The sequence below is a fragment of the Homo sapiens genome, chromosome 1, assembly GCF_000001405.40.
Source record: "Homo sapiens chromosome 1, GRCh38.p14 Primary Assembly".
Lineage (NCBI taxonomy): Eukaryota > Metazoa > Chordata > Mammalia > Primates > Hominidae > Homo > Homo sapiens.
The window spans coordinates 96,485,379-96,500,239 of record NC_000001.11 but is presented as its reverse complement, the minus strand read 5'-3'; the positions used below and the strand labels follow the sequence as shown (position 1 = coordinate 96,500,239).

Below are 14,861 nucleotides of genomic sequence, written 5' to 3'. Positions count from 1 at the left end.
AGGGCATATCTATTGGATTACATAGTATAAAGGCATGTAAAATCTTTTCATGTAACATTTAAAGAAATGAGAAAAAAATTTTTTTGTTTTGGTTAAGGGAAAGAACAGTTTACAGAGCTTTAATATATTAAGTATGAGCTCAATTAAATACAAAGACATTGTATAGTTTCCATAAATCATAGAAAATAAAAAAATCAAGGTATTAAAAATTGTTATCTCTAGGTTATCATAAATATGATCTTTAATTTCTTCTTTGTTTATTTCCTGTATTTTCCTAAAATTCATAATTTATATAAATTAATACATTTTATAATCAGAAAAAATTTTAATTTTAAAATGAGCTGTTCCCATTAATTTTGATTCATATTGTATGACAAAGTCTTGTTGGCTAATCAGTGGGTCATTTTAAATACCAGTTTTGCTTTAGTAAAGAAGCATTGCTGGAGGGCTTTACATGATTTACTTTGTGATTCCCAAATATGTCACCAAATAATTTCCTTAAACTGCAGTGTTGAGCCAAATGGTATATTTTGCTAAATAAGATAATTGTTTCATTAGGCTGATTAGTTTATTGATGATTTTATATATCTGAATGATAATAATATGAAAGGCTTCCTTTTAAAGCTTTCTATATAGATTACAAAGTGCTGTATTTTATAACAACCCAGCAATGCAGGTACTATTATTCCCATCATGTAGGTCAAAAACCAGATTCAATTTATGAATGAGGAGCCAGATCTCTAATTGATGAAAATATAATAAATGGGTATTTTAATCCTAACCACTCATTGCTTTTCTTCTCCACAATACTGGCTTGTATAGACACAGAAAGAATAGATCACCTTTGGATATCAAAGTATTGCTATATTATGTATTATTTGCCAGATTAAAGCAAGGCCCTTTACCCTCCCCCTCAAATTCTCCAGTCTTCCTACTTTCCTCCCTTCCTCTTTTCCTTTCTTTCTTCCTTTTACTTTAATGCAGTCTACATCAATTTATTTAGGTACCGTGTATGGATACTTCTGCATAACAGTGGCTGAGTTGAACAGTTGTCAGAGGGATTGGATGGCCAACAAATTTTAAAATACTAACATCAGGCCCTTTACAGAAAAAGTTTGCTGACCCCTACTGTATAGAAAAGGGTTTTTAAAAATAGAAACAAGCAGTCTTTCAGAAAGTACCTTGGACCTCCCTGGCATATGTAATAGAGCTGTTCCTTAAAAGAGCTATTTCCCTAAAAAGCGGCAACACGGTTGTAAACTATCCTCTATAGATTTGTGCTGACAGAACAGAAATGAATTGCTCATTTCCCAGAGGACCTTAGAAGCTATTTGAGCAGGTAGTATATGCCTAAACCAAGAAAAACCATTGACAAGTTTAGCACAGACAGACCTGGTGTTTAGGCAGGTACCTGGGAATGAAGTAGCAGTCAATAAACTTTAACTTGGAAACGAAGAGTTCCCGGATGAAATGAAGACATTACAACAATAAAGAAAAAAGGAAATAAGGATGGTAAAACCCCACAGCAGTTTAAGGAGCCACTGGACAGGGCATTAAGCTTAGCAATTTTTATTACCTATAAGTAGGGCATCCCACTCTACCACAGTGTGAGATGTGGTTGTGGGAAAGAGTTGTGGGAGGTCTTATTGTTAGGGTACACCTGAGGAGTATGCAGGCTATTTTGGGTGACTATGGGGGCCAACAATAATACTACTGAAGGAACATGATATTATGTAAGCCCTTAAAACTCTAGGTATCTGGATGGTTTCAAACTGCATAGAAAGACTCTGGGCGTAGAATCTGAAAAGGAGGATTCAAAACCGTGGATGAGTATACTCCAAAGTGAGATTAGTGGAGAACTGGTGGGAGATTACTTCGGAGGCCAGGGTGCAGGGAGAGATGTTTTGGGGATCCATCTGAAGGCAGAGGGTTTCTACAAAGCAGACTATCCATGAGTGTGCCGAGCCAAGGAAGAGAGACAAAAGCACAGTCCACAGGGAAGGGAGAGTAGGAGACCAAGAAGGACTAGCAAGGTGAAAAAAGGATAGAAATGTGGAAGTTAGGGGGTATGGAGACTGGGACGAACAATGAGGAACAGATAAGATGATATCATTTCATGGAGGAGGGAGCTCCCTTCATTTTTGAAAACCTGATCTGCCAGGGTTATAATAGGACATAATGGATTAGAATACACAGTGCTTTCTTTCAAGGAACTTGCAATCTGGGGTTGGGGGTGGCTGGAGAGAAAACATGTACACATAAAAATCAACTAATAGTACAAAGCAGTAAAAGGAAAACAATCTACAGAATCATAGCAGGTGGTTTAACCCACACAGATGTGAACTGTAAAACATTTCTTTTTCATTCCTGAATTCCTTTATAGGAAAATCTCAGATCAGTGATTTAGTTAAAAAATGGTACCTAGCACAGTAGTTTCCACTAAGGTTATCCTGAGGGTCATATTCAAGTGGCATAGATAATAAAAAAGGCCATGCATATATTTGCATTTAAAGTGGTATGATTTACATGTTTTTGCATATTCACATGTACTACGCATATGATTATGTTGACTGTGTGGTCTGCCCTTACACACAATATTAAAGTTTAATAGGCTGGTGGGAGTCTGTTCTTAATTTTTCTTGCCTTGATTTCTTCTAATCATTTGTCATTGAGCTAGCCATCTTGTGGGAAAGGCAAAGAAAAGGTGCATAGGGACTGGGCTGGTAGAGTGTTGAGTGTTGACAGGGATTTAAACCAGATCCCAACGTAGAGAGTGCTGGACTCAGTTTATCAGGTTACTATGTCCCCCAAAAATAAACTAAAGCTATATGTTCTGTGTCAGTGAGAGGTTCAGTCAACAATTATAAAAAATATGCTAATACTATTAATATCATTACCAATTATTCACATCTGTCCATTTTTTTTTCTCTGCCCTGTATGAGTGACATAATCCCAAAGAGACAGGGATTAATGAAAGCAGTCACTGCTTATTGAGATCTTAGTATATACCTGGTACTACCTGTGCCAAGCACTTTACATACAGTCTTTCACTCTATTTGTATAAATAATTAATTACCTAATGAAGTTGGTATTATTGTCTCTATGTTTGAAAAATAAGAGACTTAAAGAGGTTATGTGACTTGCTCAAAGTCTCACAGCTAGTAAGTGTCAAGGCAGGGATTCAATTCACTGATTTATTCATTTAATACATATTGAGTGCAAGATACTGATGAGGTACTATTTGTTGAACTCCAGAGTCATGCTAAGTAATTAAAAGAATTACATAATTACAATAATTATTTTCTGCCTTAAAACTACTTATCCTTTTGGTGTCTCTTCATAACAATCAAACCATTCACCCACTGACTGAAGCCATAAATCCACAAAGCCATCTTAGAGTATACCTACTCCATCGACTCCATCATATCCAAATAATCATGCAGACCTGTCAATATCTCACTCTTCCAAGGCCTCCTTCAAATCTGCATTGCCACCAAGGCATCTTTCGCTCATATTACCATATAACTTTCTCCTTGTTCTCCTTTTGTATAGAAAATGAGTAGCCAGAGATGGCAGGGATGACCTACTGGGGATCTTTCTTTCCCAATGCTCAACACAGAGGCCGTAACACAACTAGGGCTTAATGTTTGTTGAATAAATTCTTGAATAGAATTCTTACAAGTGAAATTTTGAAAAGTAGTCTGTCCATGAGACAGAGACTTACTCAAGTATATGTATACTTTTCTATTCCAGTGGAGACATGTATATGGCCATATCTATACATGGTATTTGTAGATGACATTTTCAAATGAGGTACCATTTGGTCAGCAACAGAACTGTGCTGCAAAGAGCCAATGGGTTTAGGTCAGTCTGCTACATAATATAGTAATTTTATATGGATGTAGGGGGAAGAATTGTCCTGATTGAAAATGATCCTAAAAAGCAGGTTGAGAGAGGTACCAGACTGAGAAAAAAACCTAGATCTTAGAAACCCCAACAAGCCAACTCCAGATACTTTCTGGCAATGATTTCTTACCATTCATGCCAACTTGCTTTCTCCCCTATTCTCCAATGTAAGATGGACCAGCCATAGTGAATTTAAGTCAAATTAATAAACATTTACTATGGACTGATTGTGTGTCAGGAGAATGGAAAACAAATAATACATAAGCACTGGGGACTGAGAATTAATTAGTGATGCATAAGTAGAATCTCTGCCCCTAAGACGGTAACTGAATACATCAGTCCTTTAATGTTTGTGATGTGCTTTCACATAAACTCTCTGTTGTAAACTCATTTTCCTAACTATTGTCCCCATTATTTACTGGTGAGAAAATAGTCTTGAAACATTAAGTGAATTACTCAATATCACATTACCAATGAGGGTTAAAATCCAGGACTCTGAGACCAAATCTTTGCTCTCATATTATGCTGTTAGGTTGCTGAGGCATTTATTCAGCGACTTTCTAATCAAGCAAATACTTATTGGACATGTAGTGTTTTCTAAGCACTTGGGATATATCAGTGAACAAAAGAGATGGATATCTCTGCTCTCAAGGTGCTTATGTTCTTGGGAAGCCTTAATAAGCTGCAAATCTCCCTTTGTATGGGAAGGCTCTGGCTGCTACACACTGAGGCTTCAAGATTCTTTCCCTTTAAGGACAGTAGCTTACTCTGTGGAACAACTGTCTTCAGGCCCTAACCACTGAGGATGGCTTTTGGGGCCGCAAGCTTTTGGGTTAGCCATTTTTAACTACATTCCACTGATTTGACTGCACATATCAGTTACTACAAAATTACCTAGAGCACAAGCCTGTTTGCATTTAATTAATTTAAATATAAACACACAATCTTAGGAAAATTAAGTAGACAAAAACGTTTTCATGCATCATAGGCATTTTGCAAACATATACAGTGTAACCTGTTAATTACATTTCCCTCACAAACCATTTATCTTCTCAAAGACTTGCCTAATAACTTGATGCTTCTCTCTTACATTTTTAACTCCTTATGATTTATTTTTCCATGCTGTTTCTAAAGCAATTGCCACGTCCCAAATGAGAGGGAATATTATAATAATGTGGTACAATAAAACAGCATACAGTATCTAATTTTAGCCCAAAGACTATGAGAAATCATTCAAATAGTTCCAATTTACTTGAACAAAATAATACAATGAATTCCTTCCTAACCAATATCCTCTCTTTGATTTGAAGGAAGCTCATCAGAAGACCAATAATAGAAATTTCCAAAATTGGATACATATCAATTGGCATCACCATTTATGCACTCCTAAACTGAATCCTGGAAGTCATCCTCATAGTGTTCTTCTGCCTCACTCCCAATTGACAGTCTGTGACTAAAGTTGGCTCAGCTCTAGTCACAGCCATCTAGTCCTCCTTGCCATCTCCTCTCCACTCCATTCTGACATTCATCATCTATTTCAACTACTGCAATAGAACTCAATTTCATCTCCTTGTCTCCAAACAGCCACTACGGGAAATAGATGTGTAGCAAGGAGTACCACCTTAAGCTCCAGCCACACCAAATTATTTGTGTTTTCCTGAATAAACTCTATTCTTTCCAATACCTGTGCCTTTGTAAATCCTTCTTTTATTTCCTTCTAAAAAAATTCTTTCCTTTTAGTCTGCTTAAAATTCTGCTCTCTTTTTTCGTATTCTGATCAGAGGTCACTTCTCTCCCAAAAGAAACATTTCTTCTCCCTCTTCACTTGGTCTCGGGTAAAAATGGCTCTTCTCCTTTGTTCCAACTCTACTCCACACTACAATGCTTTACTAGTTACCTTTCTTTGCAAGTTTGTCTTTCTCTGCTACAAACGTTAGCTCCTTTGGTAGATGGCATGAGGCATTTATTTCCCCAGCATCTACCAGAGTGACAATCAATGATTCAGGGAAACCTACTGGATAAATAAACAGACACCTTCAATACGTAGGAATGTGCCCACTGTTCAGGTGCAGTATAACTCTGAAGTAGCACAAGAAGCTACAGAAGGCTGTTCCTAAAAAGTGGTGAGATATGCCGGGTGTGGTGGCTCACGCCTGTAATCCTAGAGCTTTGGGAGGCCCAGATAGGCAAATCACTTGAGGTCAGGAGATCGAGAGCAGCCTGGCCAACATGGTGAAACCCCATCTCTTACTAAAACTACAAAAATTAGCTGGGTGTGGTGGCGGGCACCTGTAATCACAGCTACTCAGGAGGCTGAGGCACGAAAATCACTTAAACCTGGGAGGCAGAAGCTGCAGTGAGCTGAGATCGCCCCACTGAACTCCAGCCTGGGCAACAGAGCAAGATTCCATTGCAAAAAAAAAAAAAAGTGATGAGATCGCAAGATTTGCCAATCATTTTTTTGCTTCTTCTCTCTTTTGATTCTTTACTTTCCCTTCTTGCCAAACAGATAGCTATAACATTTCTATTCAAATGATATTTGCTATGTCTTAGAAAACTAAGAATTGTAGAGTTTTCAGCACTGGAAGTTTCTCTGCTACCCCTGGATATTTTCTCAAAATGAGCTACACTGGTACAAGCTGGTGGAAAATGACTTTGTCACAGTGTCTAAACCACAAGCCATATGCTGGGCCTGCAATTCACATGGGGCTCCTTGACCAATCTCTCCTTCACATACTTGCAAAAATAAATTCCTCAACTTAAATTATTTTATTTTAGTTACTTACACTATTGTGTGTCTTGAATTTGCTTGTATTACTGATGTGTAAGACAAGTCCACTTTCGCCATGAATGATTGCCTAAGATACGCACCTGACTTTTAAAACATAAAATATAAAGTTGATCAAAACACGTGACTTTAGTAATTCTTATCAGGCAAAATACACTTGTTTGCACTGCATAGCTCCTGAAAACTATGGCGTTTGGCAGTAATATGAAAATTGATTTATGCTAATTCAGTGGTGGAAAGAATCTTGGGATAATTTTACTATCCAAGTTATTAAACTAGGCTCAAACATCTACCTTTAATGGTTTCCTTAATATCTGTTTGATATTTCTTAATAATCAGCCAAAGTAGATGCCAACTGGTTTAAGAAAAAATACAAGGAAAATCAAAATTACAATTAAGAGTTGACTTTACCTAAGGGTAGTGTTTTCTTAGGATCATAAATTTGAGAATCATTAAAATGAATCACACCTATGGAGCAAACATTTGATTAAAAACCATCCTATGTATTGTTACAACTAAGAAAAAGTCACATTAGGTCATCCTTGACTTTGCTCTCATGGTTTGTTCTGCCAGAATTCTCTTTAGACTCAAATCACCTGATGACTGTCTCCACTGTAGCTTTTCGTTATCTACCTTGTCTGCTCCATTGTTACCGTGACAGTGTTTATAATGTACTAGCGAGTTATTTGTTTATCGGTGACTCCCCAGGTGGACTGTGAGCTCACAGAGGACAGCACTCACATGTATAAGATGGTATCTAGCACAGGGTCTGAGCTAGATCTGGTATTTTAAACATTAAAGTCATTATTAGTTACAGAAAATCTGTAGTCTCTATGTACTTGATCAGAGTGTACTATCAGAGTACTATGTACTCTTAATATTGCCTCTATTGTAGAATTTAACAGTGTGTTGAAGGTTGATTTCTTCAATATTAGGGAAATGCCTGCTTCACAGCTACCATTAAACTGGGGAAGTGACCTTTTTCTACTCACTTGCCCCTGCAATTTCTCCGTTCCCTGAATCTCTTGCACTGCCGCCTTTATTCTCCAGGAGATGAAATGTGAAGTGGTGCAGCTTCCTAGTTAGGCAATTGGACGCTGGTGTCAGGTGTCTGGTGTCAGGAGTCAGGCAGCTCTGCATCCCCCTCTGCCACGTACTAGCTGTGTGATCTCAGTGTAGTTACTTAATCTTTCTATTTCCTCTGACCAAAAACAAAGAGGGGTTAGTTTTGCTCTTCTTTTTGCCCAGGTTTTCTCATTTTTTAAACAAGGTAATGTTAGGATTTACCTCACAGGGTTGTGGGAAGCATGAAATGATGTGAGATGTTGAAGTTTCTCAGAAGAGGATCTGACATATGGCAAGTACTTAAGAAATGTCAGTTGTTATTATTTTATACTTCAGTGGTAGAAAGGGTTTTATAAGCCAGTTCTTAGTATAGGAAAATCTTCCTGATTAGGGTCTAAGCTAAAAAAAGTTTCTCCAAATAAACATAAATTCTCTGAAACTTTCTATATCTATAACGTCATTAAAAATGCTTCTTGCTGCTGGAGCTTAATGCTTTTCTGTTTTGTCATTTCATATAATTTTATCACACTATATAGACTCTTCCTACTTTAATTATGATCCCTGGACCAGCAGCATCAATATCACCTTGGCGCATGCAGAACTTTAGGACCCACAGATAGCCTACTAAATTAGAATCTAAATTTTAATAAAAACCACACATGACTTTTGTGCACATTAAAGTTTGAGGGGCACTGGTGAAGACTAGATTGTAGTTTCCTCATCTAAAACAATGGGAATGACCAAAGTACCTACCTCACAGGTTTATTGTGAGAATTAAATGTGTCATCGTCTGTAAAGCATGTTACACAGTGCCTAGCACACATAGCAAATGCCAAAGCCATCTATATACACATTATATACATATAATGTTGGGAAACGTGGAAGTGAGGATATTGTTCTCTTTTAAATTGGTCACAAAAAACACATGCCTGGTATTTTACTCCATTTGAGGTACCATAATTTATGTAGACATCGAAAAACCATAGCATATTCAAAAGACAGTGTGTTGAGGAAAACTAAACTATGTCAGAAGAATGGTTAAAGAAACTAGGAATATGTATGCTAGAGAAGAACTTACTTATGGAAGGTGATAACTGCCTGCACATTTTTAAAGGTTCAGACTAATTCTTTATGACATCAGACAATTAAATAAGGACAAATGAAGGGAAGTTATAGAAAGAGATTTCATTCAAAATAAGGAACAGTTCTAATTTCCTTGCAGCTAGATCTGTCCAAAGCAGAATGGACTTCCTTGCAAGAATGTGAGCTTCCTGCCCTAAAAGGTCTAAATAGAGCTTGATGTTCACCTCTTGGGGACAGCAACAGGAATTCATTACCTGGATGATTCATTACCTGTCTAAGAGGAGCCTCCCAACTCTGAGATGCAATTCTATGAATGATATAACTGAAGGGTGCTTAACCTTCATCTAGATTCTGGAAACTTCAACTTCATCTTATAGATAAGGGAATTAAGACATAGAGCTGTTAATTGGCATGCCTATGGTTATAATTTGGTGGCTGGTTGGAACAGGTCTTTGGCCAGAATGCTGATCTTGTGAAATCTGCTCTAGTACTTTAACTATGGGTCTTTTTGTTGGGCCCTTATAATCACTAAATTAGTACCAAGCACCAAATACATTAACAGTGACTCTAGATTTTGATACTTTGGATTCCTTTTTTTATTGTTATTTGAGGTAGAGTCTCACTCTGTTGCCCAAACTGGAGTGCAATGGCATGATCTCGGCTCACTGCAACCTCCACTTCCTGGGTTTAAGTGATTCTCCAGCCTCAACCTCCTGAGGGGATTACAGGAGCCCACTACCATATGAGGCTAATTTTTATATTTTTAATAAAGATGGGATTTCACCATGTTGGCCAGGCTGGTCTTGAACTCCTGACCTCAGGTGACCCACCTGCCTCGGCCTCCCAAAATGCTGGGATTACAGGCGTGAGCCAGCATGCATGGCCTGGATTTTTTTTGTTTTTTGTTTTTTGTTTTTTAGAGCTTACCTTTGCTTCTATCTTGGATAAAAGATATCCTGAATCTTATGAAGTGCGGTAATTTAGGCTAGTTTTGTATAGAAAATCTTTCTCTTGGCCACTATTGATCGGACTTTCACATTATGGCAGAGTCTCTCAAAGCAGAAAGTATTCATTGAATGCTAGTCCTTTGATATGCTCTCTGAAAAACAAGTTCTGAGGAGAATTACATTTGTAAAACCAGAACACTTAGTTGAGTTCTTGATGTTCCACAACATACAATAGCATATTAAAGATTCTTCAAGGTCCTGTAATACAGCCACTTGTTTAATTTGATATCAGAATCTCTTAGGCATTTCACCATTCAGACACTGAGCACCCCACACATAATTCCCCAATCTCTTATATAATAAACATTAATACTTTATAAAATCCTTTTTTTTTTTTTTTTTTTTTTGAGACAGTCTCACTCTGTTGCCCCGGGTGGAGTGCAGTGGCGCAATCTCGGCTCACTGCAACCTCCACCCCCTGGGTTCAAGAAATTCTCCTGCCTCATCCTCATGCACCACCATGCCTGGCTAATGTTTTTGTGTTTTTAGTAGAGACAGGGTTTCACCACGTTAGTCAGGGTGGTCTCGAACTCCAGACCTCAAATGATCCTCCTGCCTCGGCCTCCTAAAGTGCTGGGATTATAGGTGTGAGCCACCACTCCTGGCCTATAAATTGCTTTTCATGAGACTTCAGCTTTCGTGTCTAGGAAAGTCACAGCAAGGAACTTTGACAATCAGTTACCTAATTTCTTATGGGTTCTCTGTCTCTCTTAATGGTTCCTTGTTTGTCTTTTCCACATTTCAAAAGCAAGAAGAAAGCAACAGCAAACTTAGTGCTTTGTACAATTAGTATATGAATTGTCCTCTACTGATTTAGTCCTTTCAAACCAAAAGACAATTATCTACTTAACTGTCAAAAGGGAATGGAGCTGCCCCATCTACTTGTAGCCTTCTAGGTATTTTTTTCTATAAATTATGTTACATTAAATAGTTCTTCCTTTGCCAAAGGTATAGAATGCTTATATACAAGGTTTATATATTTCTTCAGTAAGAATTCTATAGGATTGTTCTACATATATCCTGGACCTACTTGGAGCAGTATATATATATATTTTTCTCTTTTCTTTTTCCTAAGAATTAGAACCTGCGAATGGAGTAGTATATTTTAAGACCAATGTAAATATATGTTAGAGCTGAAAGTTCCTTAATTAGCTAAGTAAGAGGTTAAACATCCATCAGGGTTCATTATCACTGAATCATTGCTTCCACTAACGGGAGTATATTCTAGGAGAATTCCAGGCACCAAGACAAGACCAGTAGGGGTAACACAAGTCAGACTAGCAGCATGATAAGATCAGACTCCTTAATCTGACCTACACTAAGGTGAAGAAATATGACAGAATGATTGTCTCGTCTTTCATGGGCAACAATTGGTCTAGTGAACCTGAGAGAGCAAAGGGCAAAACTGAAAATGAAATAAAAACTAACTGACAATCTGCTCTGTGTCAGATACTTCCACACATATTTTCTCATTTAAAGCCTCACAATAAGGCTATGAAGAAAGTTGAGTTCTCATTTTACAAATGAGGTAGCTGAGGCTCAGAGAAGTTGAGTGACTTACTCATCACACAGTTAACTGATTGCTAAACTGATATTCAAACTTGGACGTTGTGATTTTCAGTGTCAGTTCGTTCCCATTACACTCAAAGTGCTGGAATTTGCAAATCCAGCAAATCTTATCCCTGAGACTAGACAACAAACAGAAAGGTAGAATCTCTTCTAAACAAGTGCTCACTCACAATTATTTCAATAACTTAGTAGACAACATTCCAGGTGGATAATGTCAGAAACCAAATTTTTGAATGGAAAAGAGGCAGCATTTTAGATGTAAATGGATCCTAGAGCCCTGTGTGTGGTCAGACTTAGCGCCACAGTTCCCGTCTCTGTAGAGAAGCAACACAGCAAGAGAAGGCAATGTAAGGATTCCAAATTGCTAAGAGAATGAAGTAATCAGCATATATGTACTCCTTATTATGTTCGTGTGGCCAAGTGTGTGGGGTGGGGGCTGAAGAATCAGAGACTACAGAGTTGGAAGAACTACCATTTCATGTCAGCACGAGGGCAAAGAATGGAGGGATTGGCTGTGATCGAAGTGTCAATAGTTAGAGCTGTAATCACAACTTCAGGAGAGATCAACACCTACTGTATAAGAGGATTTAAAAATCCAATAAATGAAGCTAAATGGAGCTGCTATACTGAACGGTGGCATAAAGCCATGGTTTACTGGCAACATAGAACATCATTGCATAATGGCTGAACACAACCAGCATGCTGCGCCAGGCAACGTGAAGCCCAGCCTGCAAAAAGCCAGAGAGAGGTTTTGAAGTGATTGACCAAGTTATGTGATTTGCAGGTGCTTTTGTGTACTGTTTCACTGGTTGGTAACTTATTCAGAAGGTAGGGAAGGCTTGAACCCAGGCTGGCAATTGTGCCACTGATTTTGAGTTTGGAAAGAAGCCATAAAGGGGTAACAACATGGTCTGGAATCTACAGGTGACTTCCAATTTCTCTTTAAAAAGAGAATTCAAGGGAAAACTCAGTAAGTATTTTAAATCACATTTGTGTAATCATATTTAATGAACAGGTGGCTTATTGTAGAATTTATTTAAAGTAAGACAGTGCGTGAGTGTGTGTGTATGTGTGTGTGTGTTTCCTCAAAAACATACAGGAATTATTGAAATTAATGGCATGTAGTCCTGTTCTGGGCTATAGCTGGCATGCCAGAAACAACAATGCCATAGCTGTTACCACATTCTTTTCCTCAAAAGGGGAACAAATGAGCTTCTGTTGTTAAAGCCACTCCTTCCTGAATCACCATTTCAGTCTCTCTCTTTTCTGCTGCCTGTCATATAAAGCCGTTTTAATTTAAAAAGCAAAATAAAATAGACAGCTATTTTAAGGCAAAATATTAAATATGAGAGTGATTTGAGCTCTGAGTTTGTTTTTTAAAATTAAAATAGAGAGCCAGTGTGTGGGTATTGTAAACAGGCGAAGCTTTAGCTCTCCCTACAGGCTTTTGTTACAGTAGCTGTCTAAGAGGAAGAGAATATTGGAAGCTGAAATCATCCCAAAGTGTTCATCAAAGAGAGTGATTTCCTTTGTCCAAGACAAAGTCACAAGCTGTTACCTGGGTCGACAGTAAGACTGTGCAAATGGCATTTATCACATTATTGAGGCTACAGAGTCTTTTTTTTTATTTAGTGATTCTCAGCTTTTTATTGGAAAAAAAGGAGAATAATAATAAAAACAACAACTGCAATGACAATGACACCAGAAATGCTGCTGCTGCTTTCCAGTTTGCCCATGGTCTTTTCATAGCTTGGCTTTTGAGGCTAAGTGTTATACCGGGGCTTCTGATTTGGGGTTGGAGTCAGTATGGATTCCAAGTGGAATTCTGCAGAATGATCATCTATTGGCATAAACCCTTGCTAAAAAACAGACCAACAGCGAAGATTCTCAGTGAGCCTCTTATCTTAATAGTCATACATCAGCGACATGGATGCCATCTAAGAAATGTGTCGTTAGGCAATTTTGTCATTCTGCAAACATCATGGAGTGCAGTAACAGAAACCTACATGGTATAGCCTACACACACCTCGGCTGTATGGTACAGCCTATTTCTCCTAGGCTACAAACCTGTACAGTACAGCACCTTACTGTACTGAACACTGCAGGCAGTTGTAACAAAACAGTAAGTATTTGAGTATCCAAACACATAAAAACATAGAAAAAGTACAGTAAGAGTAGCTGTAACCCCAGCTACTCTGGAGGCTGAAGCAGGAGAATCGCTTTGAACCTGAGAGGCGGAGGTTGCCCTGAGCTGAGATTGCACCATTGCACTCCAGCCTGGGTGACAGAGGGAGACTCTGTCTCAAAAAAAAAAAAAAAAAAAAACCCACTAAAAAATGGCATGCTTGTATAGGGCATTTACCATGAATGGAGTTAGTAGGACTGGAAGTTACTCTGGATGAGTCAATGAGTGAGTGGTGAGTGAATGTGAAGGTCTAGGACATTTCTGCACACTACTATAGACTTTCTACACATGTGTAGTTAGGCTGCACTAAATTTGTAAAACAATATTTTTATTTCTTCAATAATGAATTAACTTTAGCTTACTGCAACTTTTTAATTTTATAAACTTTTTACTCTTTTACAACAATACAGCTTAAAACACAAACACATTGCACAGTTTTTCAAAAATATTTTCTTCTTTATATCTTTATTCTATAAGCTTTATTCTATTTTAAAAATTATTTATTTACTTTTTAAACTTTTTTGTTAAAAGCTAAGACACAAACACACACACATTAGCCTAAGAGTACACAAAATCAAGATCATCAATATCACTATCTTCCACCTCCGCATCTTGTCCCACTGGAAGGTTTTCAGGGGCAATAACACACATAGAGCTGTCCTCTCCTATCATAACAATGCCTTCCTTCTTCTGAAATGTCTCCTGAAGGACCTACCTGAGGCTCTTTTACACTTAATTTTTTTTAATCAGTAAAAGGAGTACACTCTAAAATAATGACAAAAGTATAGTACAATAAACACATAAACCAGTAACATAGCTGTTTACTTTCATTATTATCATGTATTCTATATAATTGTATGTGCTAGACTTTTATATGACTGGCAGTTCAGAAGGTTTGTTTACATCAGCATCGCCGCAAACATGTGAGTAATGTGTTGCACTACGACATTATGACGACTATGACATCACCAAGCAATCAGACTTTTTCAGCTCCATTATAATCTTATGGGACCACTGTTTTATATGTGGCCCCTCATTGACTCAAACATAGTTATGTCGTGCATGACTGACTGTATAAAAAATGAAAACCAGTTTCATAAGCACACTTTGGCCCACACCCCAAACCCAAAGGGAAAACTGTCTCCATATACTTTTCAGTGTAGCAGCAGTGGTGCATTGAATCAATAATAACAATCGATAACAATAATCAGTAATCTATAATAATAACAGCCATCATTTATTAATTATTTGCCCTTGC

The 14,861-nt window shown here is 37.6% G+C and overlaps 1 long non-coding RNA gene across 2 annotated transcripts in view, besides 2 other annotated features; it reads right to left on the bottom strand.

The window, feature by feature from the left end:
- LOC105378866 (uncharacterized) overlaps window positions 1-14,861 on the bottom strand; it is a 41,877-nt gene that overhangs the window by 24,104 nt on the left and 2,912 nt on the right. The gene's annotated exons all lie outside the window — the stretch shown is intronic.
- Window positions 11,440-11,939: an enhancer, noted in NCBI's record as "H3K4me1 hESC enhancer chr1:96953857-96954356 (GRCh37/hg19 assembly coordinates)". NCBI's record gives its function as "activates a minimal SCP1, AML or CMV promoter by ChIP-STARR-seq in naive H9 embryonic stem cells {active_cell/tissue: H9 hESC(naive)}" and the evidence as "EXISTENCE:reporter gene assay evidence [ECO:0000049][PMID:30033119]".
- Window positions 12,453-12,747: a silencer, noted in NCBI's record as "tiled region #15484; HepG2 Repressive non-DNase unmatched - State 24:Quies". NCBI's record gives its function as "represses a minimal TATA promoter and a strong SV40 promoter by Sharpr-MPRA in HepG2 cells {active_cell/tissue: HepG2}" and the evidence as "EXISTENCE:reporter gene assay evidence [ECO:0000049][PMID:27701403]".